The 15,910-nt window shown below is 37.8% G+C and overlaps 1 protein-coding gene across 7 annotated transcripts in view; it reads right to left on the reverse strand.

Moving 5' to 3' along the window:
* The window catches only part of ACBD6 (acyl-CoA binding domain containing 6), a 232,925-nt gene that overhangs the window by 15,429 nt on the left and 201,586 nt on the right, over positions 1-15,910 (reverse strand). For 2 of the 7 annotated variants that reach the window (XM_047432082.1, XM_047432081.1), the window contains exons 8-9: positions 3,189-3,436; positions 2,195-2,321 (exon numbers count right to left, since the gene is read on the reverse strand). In XM_047432082.1, the coding sequence (XP_047288038.1) occupies positions 3,282-3,436 (155 nt within the window). In that variant the 3' untranslated portion in view covers positions 2,195-2,321; positions 3,189-3,281. Of the gene's footprint in view, positions 1-2,194; positions 2,326-3,148; positions 3,437-15,910 lie in introns of those variants that run through there. The other 5 variants (XM_047432085.1, XM_047432084.1, XM_047432083.1 and 2 more) reach the window with 3 other exon arrangements.

The following is a 15,910-nucleotide window of genomic DNA, read 5'->3' on the forward strand; positions in this document are numbered from 1 at the left end:
GCTATAATGGTGCCACTGCACTCCAGCCTAGATGACAAGAGCGAGACCCTGACTCAAAAAGACGAAAAAACCCAAAAAACGGCGTAACTGCTGTTATTTCATTGAAGCTAAGATATAACTGATTATAAGAAACATAAGTTTATGTATCACTAAGAAAAAATGCTGGCAACTGAACTACGATATGCCATTGTTTATAAAAGCCATCCAATTTTGGATATGTTAAAATGAGAACTGCACTCTAGCCTGGGAGACAGAGTGAGACCTTGTCTCAAAAAAAAGTGAAAATAGGTGCATCTCAGAACTGATCAAATATAATATTGTAACTATGATGAAAACATTTGACTCAAATCACCTTAGGAACTGGGATTTGAAATTCACTCATAAATATTTAAACTCAATATTTTCATTACTAAATTGTAGCTGATGGGTTACATACCTATTCTATGATAAATATTTATTTATGGAGGGGAATTTTTAAGGGCTTGAAGTTTGATAAAAGCTTTCATGTTCAACTGAAGCATATATTTGTCTGGACGCTCAACTCTTCTGCAACCCAAGCTCAGCTGTGCTACAATCACACACATTATTCATTAATCTCAGAGATGCTGTAGTGTACATGGAATAATAACCCATAGCCAAGTAGTTAAATCTGGCAGGAAGCTAAGAAATACCTATTTAATAGAAAGGTTCACTGGATTATAGCAACCTTTTAGCTGGAAAATGCTGAAACATTAAAAAAAGATATACTAGATACAATTCCAGATATTTTACGTTGGTTGTTACCCTTCTACCTGACAAGCATAAGAGATTATATGTGGCCAGTTGGCTGACTTCTTACATCTTTATTAGAAACATAATTGTAATAGGTTTAAAAGATTTAGTTAGTTTCTGATTGGTAATTCACTACTTTCTATGAGACTTTTCAAGATATCTCATGTAGTATATTAATATCCCATGTAGTATATTAATTCTAAATATACAAAATACTGAAAAAAGGGAATGCCATGGGCCTAGAACAGTGTTTTAAGGCACAGGGAGATGATCTATAGATTATATGATAGCAAGGTTTCTCAAAATTCAGACACTCATGAATAAAGAACAGAGATTTTGGAAATTGGCTTTAGAATGTATTTGAAAATGTTAAGTTGATGGCTGTTTTTAGTGATAGCTTTGAATATAAATTTGAAACCTTTAAAATAAAATAAAAGATAAGTTATATTCTTTGCTTAAAATCTATACAGTTTTAGATGCGGCAAAACAGGTAATAAAAAACTTGTCTAAGAAATATCAAGTTCGAACTGCTAAAGAGATGAAAAAAGGAGTTCCTTAATAGCTTCTTGCTCAAATACCCTGTAAATTAAAAATGAATAAATGGTTTTTGATTTGCTAATGTCTTAAAAAATGCACAAAGTAATACCAATTAAAAACTGAAGGCATCATCCTGGTGACTTCACTATAACTAATGTATGTTTCTTAAAACACATTCAATTAGTGTGGAATGTGAAAGACTTAAGCTAAACAGCAGGTTGCAATGTAGCAAGGATTGTGAAAGAACAGACAGTGAAGAGAATGCTCTACTAGAATTACAGCATTTCAGTATGTACTAATATGCATATCACTTCCACAGATTAATTAAATTATTTCAAAAATGAATCATCTTGGTGAATGATTTTGGTTTATATCTCAGAAAATAAGAAGTTAAGATAGAAAAATCACAAAATAAACAGCACTAATATGCCTCATTTCTGTTATAGAGGGGCTTATTCCAAAGAACAGGTTAGTTCATGCTAATGAAAATCTTCTTCACCGTTGAGGACTATACTAAGCAAGTTTATTACTCATTATTTTAATAGTAACACCTGTTAGAAAAATTATCTTTTAAGTGGTTATCTTTGCATCTCAACTCATTTTTTATTTCATTTCTCTTCCTATGTCAACTATCTACTTTCCTTATATAATAGTAAAAGTCAGTGAATTCCCCAGATGGAGCTTTTGGGGCTTACAGGGAAAATGTTGGGAGCCAGTTTCAAGAGTGGCATACCTGGCTGGGCACAGTGGCTCACACCTGTAATCTCAGCACTTTAAGAGGCCTGAAAACTGCTTGAGGCCAGGAGTTTGAGACCACCCTGAGGAACACAGAGAGACCCTATCTGTACAAAAGATACAAAAATTAGTGGGGTGTGGTGGCACGCACCTGTAGTCCCAGCTATCTCAGCTACACAGGAGGCTGAGGTGGGAGGATTCCTTGAGCCCAGGAGGTTGAGGCTGTAGTGAACCATGATCATACCACTGCACTTCAGCCTGGGTGACATAGCGAGACCCTGTCTCAAAAAAAAAAAAAAAAAAAAAGTGGCATACTGATCTATCCTTTAAATTAAAATGAGAGCATACTTGTCTACATTTTTAATAAAAAACAAAAGCTCTTCTGGTATCCAGAAGTAACTTCACATTAACATATTAGATAGACCCAAAGAGACCTAACAGTTCAGATCTAAGCTTTTTTTTTTTTTTTTTTTTTTTTAACAGAGACTGCTGCTACATATGACATGGTCATTATAGACAATTAAAAGAGCCCTAAAGAAATTCCTTTCTTGTTTAGTGAAGGTGAGTTTAAGGAATCTGACCTAACCCTGATGAATCCTCCAGAATCTGTTTCAATCCTAGAGTGAAAACAGAGTACTATTCTAAAATGCCCCAGGGTTTTGAGATTTTCAGTAAATCTAGTTGTTCTGACTTCTACACCCCTTACGTGACAAAATTCTGCTTTCTCCTTTGCTTTGTTTTTCTTAACATCCCTCTTCTTTCCTATCTTCCTAGTTATGTCTGCCAAAAGAATAGACATCTTAGCTGCCTATTCAGACCATGTGTACAAAATGCTACAAAAGATAATTTGATCTCTACCATGTTGGGATTGCATGAAACTTTCCCTAATGGTTACATTTGCTTCTGTATGTTTTTTAAAAAAGCAGCCATGTTTAATATTGTGAAATATGATCTGTCTCCTCTTCTGCCCACCCTCTAAAGCAGTGATAAATTTCAGAGCATGCTCAGCAGAATTGGATTATATTATGCACAGTACACATGTTCATCACCAAAACTGTACTGCCTAGAATGTATGCAAGAAGAATGAATTGCTGAGACTTCAAAATCCCAGTTCCACAGAACTGATTTTATTAGCCAATACATACCAAAGACGGGTGGAAAAGAAGTATTATTTTTGTAGTTTTCTTTCATAATGGAAGCCTTATGCTATTACAGACTGCAGTTTTCCAGTCTTTTGATTAAGCCTTGCCAGTTGTGTGCCGCTGCAGCACCAAAGAAACTGTTTTGCAGCCTGTCACCTCCTCTGGCAGGCAGCCATCCTGGTCTCGGAGAGTGGGGTCAGCACCAGACTGGAGCAGCAGCTCTACAATATCCAGAAACTCACAGGCAGAGGCTGAAAGGAAAATTGACAAATATGAAAACAAGTTTACCAAGAGACAGAGAAACTCCTCTACTTCAGCAGGAAAGGAAAGTGCTGAGCAATAAGGAATACTGAACAATGAGCAATGTTACAGTGACTGAAGGATGGTCAGGCCTGGTAATGAGAACTGTGGTATTATGCTAGATTTTCAAGCCTTAGGAAAATCAAATTTACCTTTTTGGTTGTCTAGGAACACACACGCAAACAAATATATATTCTAAATTGTGAGGCTTTTGGGCTCTAGTCTTTAAGAATGGGATTAAGGAAAGGAATAAAAAATAGTATTTAAGTATCTATTTTACTTTGATCTTTATTTCAGAATAATGATACATGTGCAGGATATGTCAAAAGGCTAAAAATACTGTAAATGTCAAATAAAAGGTTTTGTTTTGTTTTTGAAGAGGGGATAAGTGGGTAACTAACTGAACTTTACAATTTGTAAATTTTTTAAAAAAAAGCTGGCCCAGTAATCAGACCATTCTTCTACAGGAACTAAAAAAAAAAAAAAAAAAAGGCACCAATGGGTGTAACTGATAAGTTCAAGGTACAGGAAGGGGAAAAAAGGGCGTAGAGATATCAAGACTTATAAATATGGTATGGTATTGCCCCAAAATGGAAAAACAGACCAGAAGCTTAGAACAGAGGGTGATCTATTCTTCTGCACACATATGAAAACTTAATTCATGACAAAGCTGGCAGATCAGTGGGGAAATAAAGACCCAATGATTAGATGGTGTAGAGACAACTGGGACTCACTAAAGGCAAAAAGAGGCACCAGATGAAACATAAATGGCAATAAACATATAAAAAGATGAGCATTCCACATTATCAGGGAAATGAAAATTAAAACCAGGAGATACCATTTCATACCCACTAGATTGGTGAAAATTAACTTTGACAATGCCAAGCACTGATAAGGACTGGAGCAGAGAAACCCCTTTAGATGTCAGAGTGTACACTGGTGTTGCTATTTTAGACAACACTAGAGCATTACAGGTTAAACCTAAACACACATATACCCTCCAACCTAGTAATTCTACTTCTAGTTATATACTTTTGCATATGTTCTCCAGGAGATATTTGCAAGCATGTACACAGCAGACCCCAAATGTAAACAGCCCAAACGCTCATTAATGGTAACATATAAATAAAGTATTGATCACTTGTACAATGAAATCCTGTAGAACACTGGAAACTAATGAACTATAGCTTCACACAACATGGGTTTATCTCCAAAACATAATGTTGAAGGGAAAAAAACAAGTGAGAAGAATACATATGATATCATTTCATTTAAACAAAATTTTGCAAACCGGTAAAACTAAAGAATATGATTCAGACATACAAATATGTACTGAAACTACAAAGGAAATCATTAATTAATATAAAATTTGGGATAGTGGTAATCTCTCAAAGATTACCACTAGGGAAGGCCATATGATTGAGAGGCATGCACAGGAGGTTCAAAGATATTGGTGATGTTCTATTTCTTAAGCTAAGTAGTGGGTAAATTTTTAAAAGCTTTGTTTAAATTCTTCATATACATTTTATATACTCTTTTGCAGCATGATTATCACACAACACAGTGTGTGGGTTTTTGTTGTTGTTGTTGCTCATTTGTTTCAAGAGAAAGGGTATGGAGCTGAATTTCACGGACTTTTTGAGACAGGGTCTGGCTCTGTCTCCCAACCTGGAGTGCAGTGGCGAGATCATGGCTCACTGCAGCCTTGACCTTCTGGGCTCAAGCAAATCCTCCCACCTCAGCTTCCTGAGTAGTTATAACTATATAGGTGTGTGCTACCATGCTTGGCTCTCACTTTGGGAGTCTCACTTTGTTGCCCAGGCTGGTCTCAAACTACTAGGCTCAGGCAATCCTCCCGCCTTGGCCTCCCAAAGTGCTGGGATTACAGGCATACACCACTGCACCCGGCCCTATAGCCATTTTATTGAGCACATACTGTACCAGTCCAGTCAGGAATACAGGTAAGATTCCTGCTATTCAGAATGGATTGTAAATATGTAAACAACCAATTCTAACACAAAAGAATGAATAAGAAATGTGGCAGAAATACATACACTGCAAAGGCAGGGAGGAAGGAGGAGACTGAGGGATCAGGAAACACTACAAATTGGTAGTAAGATGTAAGATGAGCTTTGAAGGATCGAGCAAAATTTCTGAGAAGGAAAGGCATTGCAGAATGCGAAAATACCACTAGGAGAGGCATGACAAGGAATGCTGGAGAACTGTCTCTGCTGGCTCAGGGAAGCAGTACAAAGAGTTGAAAGTACAGAGGTTGGATTGAAGTCAAGTTATCTAGGGCCTTGAATCGGTCACACTAAGAAGTCTGAGTTTTGTCAAGTGATCCACAGGCATTTATGAGGAGTGGAGTGGCATAATTTGGCAAGCACCGATCTGATTTCTGTCCCTATAGTTTTGTCTTTTTCCAGAAATAGAAATCATATAGCATAGTCTTTTGTATCTGGTCTCTTTCACTTAGCATGTTGCTTTTGTGATCCATCCACATTGCTTCAAGTATCAGTTCTTTCCTTTTGATTGCTGAGTAGTATTCTACTGTATGCATGTATGCAGTCATCTGGGCTGCTTCCAATTTTTGGCATTATGAACAGGGATCTTACGAACAGTTGGGTAAAGGTCTTTGTGTTGTCCTGTTTTATGTTTTCACAGCTTGTGGGTAAATATCTAGAAGTAGAATTGCTGAGTCATATGGCAAGTGAATGTTTAACTTTCCAGGAAACTACCAAACTTTTCTAAAGTTTTCACTCACACCAATAAGTATAAATTCCAGTTCCTTTGCACCCTTACCAGCACTTTACTATTATTAAAAATATTTTTTAGCCATTCTAGTTAGGTCTATGGTGGCTTTTCATTGTGATTTCTAATCTGTACTTCCCTAATGTCTAACAATGAACATTTCTCATGTGCTTATCTGCCAACTATCTATCTTTGGTGATTTATCTGTTCAAATCTTTTGTTCATTTGTTAATAAGGTTGTCATTTTCTTATAAGAGGTCTTTATATGTTGTGGACACAAAATTTTTTTTTCCAAATATATGTTTTATAAATATTTTCTCCCAGTATATGACTTCTCATTTTTTTTAAGAGTATCTTGAAGAGTGGAATTTTTAAATTTTGATAAAGTGCAATTTATTTTTTCTTTTATAGTTTGTGCTTGTGTTCCATCTAAAAAAAACTTTGCCTACACCAAGATCACAAAGATATTCTTCTAGTTCTTTATCATTATTCCTCTTACATATACATCTAAGATCTTACCTTCCCAGTTAATTTTTGAGTAGGCTTCAGGCTCACCTTTTTGTTTTGTTTTGCATTTTGATGTCCAATTGTTACAGCTCTATACGTTGAAAAGGCTAGTCTTCCCTCCACTGAATTTTATGTTGGCATTTTTGTCAAAAATCAGCTGACCATTTGTGATTGGATCTATTTCTAGGTTATCTATCATGTTCCTTTGATCTATATACCTATTCTTATACCAATACAACATTGGCTTGATTTCTGTACTTTATAGTAAGTCCTGAAACCAGTGTGGGGCCTCCAACTTTATTCTTTTTCAAAGTTGTTTTGATTATTCTAGGTCCTTTGCTTTTCCATATAAATTTTAGAATCAACTTATAAGTTTTTACAAAGATCCTGCTGGGATTCTGATTGGGACCCCGCTGAATCTATGAATCAATTTGGAAAGAATGGACAGCTGAACAATACTGAGTCTTTTGATCCATGAACAATGGTATCTCTTTCCATTTAAATTTTCCTTAATTTCGATAATATTTAGGAATTATACACATACAAATCTTACTCTTATTTTGTTTGATGTATCCCTAAGAATTTCATGTTTTTGAGGCTACTGCAAATAATATCTTTTAAAAATTCAATTTACTGTAAGCATAAAGAAAAACAATTAAGATTTGTATACTATCCCTGGTGTTTTCGAATTTTAATTTTCAATTGTTCATTACTAGTATATAGGAATACTTTTCATGTTTGTATATTGATTTTACATCCTGTGAACTTGGTGAACTCACTTATTCTAGGTTTTTTTTTTTTAATAGATTCTTGGGGTCTTATACATAGATGGACACATCACCTACGAGAAAAGGAAGTTTTATTTCTTCTTTTTAAATCTATGTGGCTTTCATTTCTTTTTCTTGCCTTAATGCATTGGCTAGAACTTTTAATACAATGTTGGATCAAAGTGGAGAGAGTGGATATCTTTGTCCACAGTCTTAGAGGGAAAGTGTTCAGCCTTTCATCATCAAGGACGATATTAACTGTCGATTTTCTCAGGCTAAAGAAATTCCCTACTATTTCCTATTTCTATTTTGTTGTGAGTTTTTGTTGTTGTTGTTGTTTTAATCATGAAGGGAAGTTGAATTTTGTCAGCCTTTTCTACATAAATTGATAAAATCACATTTTGCTTTTTTGATCTGTTCATATGGTGAAATACTATGGTTCTCAATTGCCAAACAAACCTTGCATTCCTAGGATAAACACACTTGCACAAAATTTATTAACCTTTTTGTATTTACTAGGTTCAATTTGCTAACATCTTATTAAACATTTTTGCATCTATGTTCATAAGGAATACTGGCCTGTTGTTTTCTTTTCCTCTAAGGTCTTTGTCTGGATTTGGTTATCAGGGTAATTCTGGTTTCACAGAATGAGCTGGGCAGTGCTCCCTCCCCTTCTATTTTCTGGAAGTGTTTGTGTGTAGAATTTTTTTTTTTTTTTTTTTTTTGAGACAAAGTCTCACTCTGTTGCCCAGGCTGGAGTGCAATGGTGCAAATGGCATGATCTTGGCTCACTGCAACCTCTACCTCCTGGGTTCAAGCAATTCTCCTACCTCAGCCTCCTGAGTAGCTGAGATTACAGGCACCCACCACCACACCCAGCTAATTTTTGTATTTTTAGTAGAGACGGGGTTTTGCCACATTGGCCAGGCTAGTCTCAAACTCCTGACCTCAGGTGATCTGGCTGCCTCACCTCTCAAAGTGCTAGGATTATAGGCATGAGCCACTGTGCCTGGCCAATTTCATCCTTAAATACTCAGTAGAATTCACCAGTGAAGTAATCAAGGCCTGGAAATCTTGTGGGAAAGTTTCTAGCTACAAATTCAATCTCTTTTATAAATATAGAGCTATCCAGATTTTCTATTTTTTATTTTTGTTTTTTTTTAAGATGGAGTCAGGCTATGTTGCCCTAGCTAGATGTAGTGGCTATTCACAAGCATGATCATAGTGCAGTGCAGTGTTGAACTCCTGGCTCCAAGTGATCCTCTTCCCCAAGCCTCCCAGCTGGGACTAAAGGCATGCACTTCTATTTCCTTTTTTTTTTGAGATGAAGTCTGGCTCTGTTGCCCAGGCTGGAGTGCAGTGGCACGATCTTGGCTCAGTGAAATCTCCGCCTCCCGGGTTCAAGTGATTCTCCTGCTTCAGGCTCCCGAGCAGCTGGGATTACAGGTGCGCACCACCACATCTGGCTAATTTTTGTGTATGTAGTAGAGACAGGGTTTCACCATGTTGGCCAGGCTGATCTCGAACTCCTGACCTCAGGTGATCCGCCCGCCCCAGCCTCCCAAAGTGCTGGGATCACAGGTGTGAGCCACCACACCTGGCTTTCTATTTCTTTTTCAGAAAACTTTGGTAGTTTGTGTCTTTAAAAAAATTTGTCCTGGCCAGGTGCGGTGGCTCTTGCCTGTAATCCTAGCAGTAGCATTTTGGGAGGCCAAGGCAGGCAGATTGCCTGAGGTCAGGAGTTTGAGACCAGCCTGGGCAACATGGTGAAACCCTGTCTGTACTAAACTACAAAAATTAGCCGGGCATGGTGGCGCATTCCTATAATACCAGCTACTCCGGAGGCTGAGGCAGGAGAATCGCTTGAACCTGGGAGGTGGAGCCTGAAGTGTGAGCAGGCTGAGATCGCACCACTGCACTCCAGCCTGGGTGACTGAGACCCTGACTTAAAAAAATATATAATAATAATAATAATAAATTTGTCCATTTCATTTAAGTTATCTATTTCATTGGTATAAAATTGTGTATAATGTTTCCTTATTTGCTTTATAATATCTTTAGGATATGTACTGATATCCTTTCATTCCTGAAACTGGTAATTTGCCTTTTGTTTTTTTTTTTGGTGTCACATCTCACTTTGTTACTCAGGCTGGAGTGCGGTGGCACAATCATAACTCACTGCATCCTGGAACTCCTGGGCATGAGTGATCCTCCTGCCTCAGCCTCCTGAGTAGCTGGGACTTACAGGCTCAAACAACTATGCCTGGCATGTTTTAAAACATTTGTTGTAGAGATGGGGTCTTGCTATGTTGCCCAGGCTGGGTCTCGAACTCTTAGTCTCAAGTGATCCTTCTGCACTGGTCTCCCAAAGTGCTGGGATTACAGGTGTGAGCCACAGCATCCAGCCTGTTTCTTCTCTTTTTTTTCTTCCTTGGTCTGGCTAGAGGACTATGTTTTATTGATCTTTACAAACAACCAGTTTTTGATTTCACTGATTTTCTGTTTTCTGATTTTCTATTTCAATGATTTCTGCTCCGATCTTTATTGTTTCACACTTACTTTGGGCTTAATTTGCCCTTCTTTTTTTGAGATAGAAGCTTGGATCACTGATATGAAATCTTTCTTCTTTTCTAATAGTATTTAATTTCCTTTAAAGCACTGGTTTAGCTGCATCCTGCAATTTTTTTTTTTTTTTTTGAGGCGGAGTCTTGCTCTGTCGCCCAGGCTGAAGTGCAGTGGTGCAATCTTGGCTTGCTGCAACCTCTGCCTCCCTGGCCTGGCTTAAGCGATTCTCCTGCCTCAGCCTCCCAAGCATCCCACAAGTTTTGACAAGAGTGTTTTCATTTTCATTCAGTTCAAAATATTTTATATAGGCATAACTTATTTTATTGTGCTTAACTTTACTGTGCATCACAGATAATGCATTTTTTTTTTCAAATTAAAGATTTGTGGCAACTCTATATTTAAGCAAGTCTATCGGTGCCATTTTCCCAACAGCATTTGTTCATTTTGTGTCTCTGTGTCACACTGTGGGGATTCTCACAATATTTCAAACTTTTCATTATTGTTATTTCTGTTGTGAGGATCTATGATAAATGATCTTTGATGTTACTATTGTAATTTTTTGGGGGTGCCATGAACTGCACCCATATAATATGAATTTCATCAATCAATGTTTTATGTGTTCTGACTGTACCATGGAACAGCCAATCCCTCGTCTATCCCTCTCCTTGGGTCTCCCTATTCCCTGAGACACAATAATATTGAAATTAGGCCAATAATCCTACAATGAACTCCAATCCTTTTACTCAAGTAAAAGGAAGAGTCACACATCTCTTATTTTCAATCAAAAGCTAGAAATGATTAAGCTTAGTAATGAAGGCATGTCAAAAACCAACATAGGACAAAAGCTAGGCTTTTGTGCCAGTCAGCCAACTTGTGAATGCCAAATAAAAGTTCTTGAAGAAAATTAAAGCACTATTCCAGTGAACATACAAATGACAGGAAAGCAAAACAGCCTTATTGCTGATTTAGAAAAAGTCTGAGTGGTCTGGGTAGAAGATCAAACCAGCCACAACATCCCCTGAAGCCAAAGTCTAATCCACAGCAAGGCTCTGGCTCTTTCATTCTACGAAGACTGAAAGAGATGAAGAAACTGCAGAAGAAAAGTTAGGAGTTGGCAGAGGCTGACTCATGAGGTTGAAGGAAAGTTGTCTCCATAAAATAAAAGTGCAAGGTAAAGCAGTAAGTGCTGATGCAGAAGTGAGAGCAAGTTATCCAGAAGATCTAACTAAGATAAAGATAACTGATGAGGATGGCTATACTACACAACAGATTTTCTTTTTTTCTTTTCTATTAGACAGAGTTTCACTCTGTCGCCCAGGTTGGAGTGCAGTGTTGCGATCTTGGCTCCCTGCAACCTTTGCCTCCTGGGCTCAAGCGATTCTCGTACCTCAGCCTCCTGAGTAGGTGAGATTACTGGCCATGTGCCACCATGACTGGCTAATTTTTGTATTTTTGGTAGAGAAGGGGTTTCACCATGTTGGCCAGGCTGGTCTCGAAATCTTGACCTCAAGTGACCCGCCCACCCGGGGCTCCCAAAGTGCTGGGATTACAGGCATGAGCCACCATGTCCAGCCAACAGATTTTCAGTGTAGACAAATCAGCCTCATACTGGAAAAAGATGCCATCTAGGATTTTCATAACTAGAAAGGAGAAAACAATGCCTGTCTTCAAAGAATAGGTGAACTCTCAGCCAGGCGCAGTGGCTCACGCCTGTAATCCCAGCACTTCGGGAGGCCAAGGTGGGCAGATCACAAGGTCAGGAGATCGAAACCATCCTGGCTAACACGGTGAAACCCCATCTTTACTAAAAATGCAAAAAATTAGCTGGGTGTGGTGGCTTGTGCTTCTTTTGTTAGGGTGAGAATGAAGTTCTCTTGCAGTTTTCTACATCTTAATAGTGGAAGCAGAACTCCCCAGGGGTTTGTTTTAAATGATTTAGCAGTGATATTTCTTCTTTTGCTCTCTAACGGTACTTAGGTAAAGATAAAGTAGTTTCTCTGGTTCCCTTGACCATCTTTTCTCCTTGTGTGGGTACTTCCAGCTCAGGGCTTCACGGCTATGTGCTGTGAAGTGTGCACAGAGCCGACAGCCAAAACCAGGTTGTGATAGGTACTTGGGATATATTTTGTGATCCTTTACATTACTTATCCTGACAAGCTTAGGCACCAAACTCTAATCCATAACCATATAAACTCAGAGGTGCTTCTAAGTGAATCAAAGTGGAGGGTAGATTTTTTTGTGAGCTAAAATCAGAGCATTTGTGAATGCTATCTCTGCCTTCAGCGATGTGGGGTTTCTTAGAAGGCTACCAAGATACAGATATTAATATCTGATGAATGGAGAATAGGAGAAAACATAGAGGCAGGCAAGAATTGCCTGTTCCAACCCCAGGGTCACTGCTGATTGGCTGAGATCATAGTTTTGGGTAGCTCCTGAGACTCAAGAGCTATTCTTCATCTTGAGGGATGCCACAGACAGGGAGGAAGAGACGGTATCATCTTTACCAAGGCCGAGGATTCAAGAGAGTGTTTAGGATTATAGTATCTTTTTGAGACTTTAAAATTGCCTCCCAAAATAATTTTATCATTATTATCATTTTTTGAGATGGAGTCTTACTCTTGTCGCCCAGGCTGGAGTGCAATGGCACGATCTTGGTTCACTGCAACCTCTGCCTCCCGGGTTCGAGCGATTCTCCTGCCTCAGCCTTCTGAGTAGCTGGGATTACAGGTGCCCACCACCAAGCACAGCTAATTGTTTTTGTATTTTTTAGTAGAGGTGGGGTTTCACCATGTTGGCCAGGCTGGTCTCAAACTCCTGACCTCAGGTGACCCACCTGCCTTGGCCTCCCAAAGTGCTGGGATAACAGGCATGAGCCACTGTGCCTGGCCCAAAAATAATTTTAGTCAACATTTTAATTTTAAACTTCTGAAGGGTTTTATCATGAATCACTGTATACCAAATTGGATTAAAATGAAAGACAATCTCTTATAAAATACAACAAAGTTGAAGACACATTGCCTTATATCAAGTAGCTGTGAAAAAAAGGCTATTTATCCTGCATAGAACTAGCTACTTTAACCTTTACACTGCAGTTATTAGTCTCAACTTATTGTAAGAAACACTTAGGCTTTAAAATAGGACCTTTAGCAGTATCATGGGAATAAACTTCCCATTGTATAAATCTATAATACACAATAATAACCATCATGATCTGTCAGATCACGCTTGGCTCAATTCCAACCCAACAGTTACGCGAGAAGATCAGGGCTAAGTAGATGTGTGCTATGGCTGAAGACACAAAAGATGGCCATCTCAGACAAAGGGACATTAATTACATTTATGCTGTATGATGATGTGACCATTCCAGTGGTGAGATATGATATAATCTATGGGCACCAACCCAGGTATGGAGCTTAAGAATTTAAGTTCCACATCTAGGGAACTCTAGTCAACCAGCTATGAAAATGCTACCTGAGGCTAATAATAATTCCCTAACTTGACAGATGTGAATGAAATTTTAGCTCAGGTCTAACTATAATGTGAGATATGAATTTGGAATTTAAGGTGGCAAAACAGTAATTCAGAGCAAGAAATATGGCATTCATATGAAAGGGGTTTTATTAACAAATGCCTGGGAGTTATGCAAAGACAGACTTACATGACAGCATAAACAATGAGGAAGTTATATAGATAAAAAAGAATGAGACTGAATAACTTAAAGGACAAGGGTCCTTTTAAACCACACAGGTGCATCTTATCCTGATATGAGGAGGCCACTTGCAGTATCTGTTGGAGACTCACTGTTGAGAGGCATCCATTATGTTTATGTTAGCACAGAGCCTACTTGCACATATAGTTGCCCAACAAATAGTTGTTGAAAAAATATGCTTTGTACCCCACAATGAGATGCTGAACTACTTGAGTATATGCTTCTTTTTGTATTCTCTTCTCCATCTAGCATAATGCTGGGCACTTACTGTTTGCTCAAAATTCATTAGTTAATTGATTTCTCTGCCTTTGGCATGTTCAGTGAAACACAAGTCATAATGTAGAGTCATCTTTCAGAAATGTGTACTCTGCCCACCCTTTCAAAACAGACAAAGGCAAAGAATATGAGAGAAAAATGAGGAGGAAAGGGTGCTAACATTTTACCAAATTAATGAGGGGATATACTGGTGCCCACAATGTGCTGGGAAATACAAAAACAGTCATAAGCCCATCTCAGAAAAGCTTGAGCAAGTCTATAGGGATTAGAACAGTTGCTGAATTTATGGTACCCTGGGAACCTCTATTTGTCAAGTGCCATAGAGGCAGCCCTGACACTGGCACAGGTGAAGATGAATTTCCATTCAGAGCAGTGAGCCTTCTGACTCCATTAATCCTCAGGGTTTTGATAATGAATTTCTTTTTTTTTTTATTTTATTTATTTTCACTCTAATGCCTCCTCCCACTGCCCTGTAACAGTGTGGAGGTAACAGAACAGATGGTGCTTTGCGTGGAAGACTGAGGGCTCATGAGGATACAAAGCCTGCCCACTCTGAAATCACATGACTGCACGTGCAAGGAAAAGCCTTGATTTCCCCTGGGAGACACAGATGCAATGATATTAGTATTCCCAGTGGAGGAAGAGGAGGGGAAGGCTAACAGGCCATTTATAAGTAAGACCATACTTATACCAATATACTCTTCAGCAAGGACCATGTTTAATCATGAAGTAACAGGAGGACCAATATCTGAAGATTAAAAAAAAACCCAGGTAAAATATAGGCACATAAGGGTTTTAGTATGCTGCCACACAAAGCCTATTTAGAATGAACTAGTAAGGACGTACAGTAGTAGAATACCGGCCTCTAGTTAACCTGCGATTGGCTCTGACCTAGTTTTAATCGGAAGGAGCCAGGATTTACAACCTGCTTAAGGATGGAGTTTGACAACTGCTATAATCAGAAGAGCTGTCAACACAAGGACAGCTGTCAAGCCCAACCATAATTCATAAAAAATAATAACTAAATCCCCAAAGACATCCCCAACACTGTCTGCACTCACTGGATTTAACGATACTTATAGTTTTAGGAAAGTTCCAAGAGTAGGTTAAGAGTCCTGAAATAAAATAAAATCAACAAATAATAACTGACTGCCCACTAAATAAAAAGGGTTAAATAATATTAAGTGATTAAATGAATAACAAATATGCCCAGCAGATCCTCTGGCATATAATAGGTGCTTAATAAATCATTATTATTATTATTACATGCAAGACTGTTTTGACTACCTTAAAAACTGGCAAGAATCCAGTGACCTAGTGAAAAATTATAAATTAAAAATAACCCACTCCTATAAGTGATTACGAATTAAACTTAAAATAGTAATTTTTATTAAATATTCCTGAATTGTCAGAATATTTTAGTTTTATATATTTGTAACGCCAGAACTTATAGGGATATTTAGTATTTGATTATCTTGATTTTAACATATATGTCATTTGTTTTGTTCTTTCCATGATGATTAATATAACCTGAGAGAAACAGAAGTTCTAGATCAATTTTAGGCAAGATTTTTGAATCAGGGATAATTTTTATTAATGTATAAACTCTTGGTGAACAGAAATAAAAATATAAAAGCACACAGACAGAAATATTGATATACATTTACTCCCAAGTACAGTCTTGAAAACTAGCCTTGAATCACTGACCAAGGTAACCAATAAGAAAAGATTTTCTTTAATTTGATTTCTATGAAAGATTATCTTCCACAAAATAATGTCTTCCTTAAAAAGACAGCAGGACTGCAATTATTTATGAAATTGTGAAAAGAGGTCTGGATGTAGAATCAGAA

The sequence above is a fragment of the Homo sapiens genome, chromosome 1, assembly GCF_000001405.40.
Source record: "Homo sapiens chromosome 1, GRCh38.p14 Primary Assembly".
In the NCBI taxonomy this organism is placed as follows: Eukaryota; Metazoa; Chordata; class Mammalia; order Primates; family Hominidae; genus Homo; species Homo sapiens.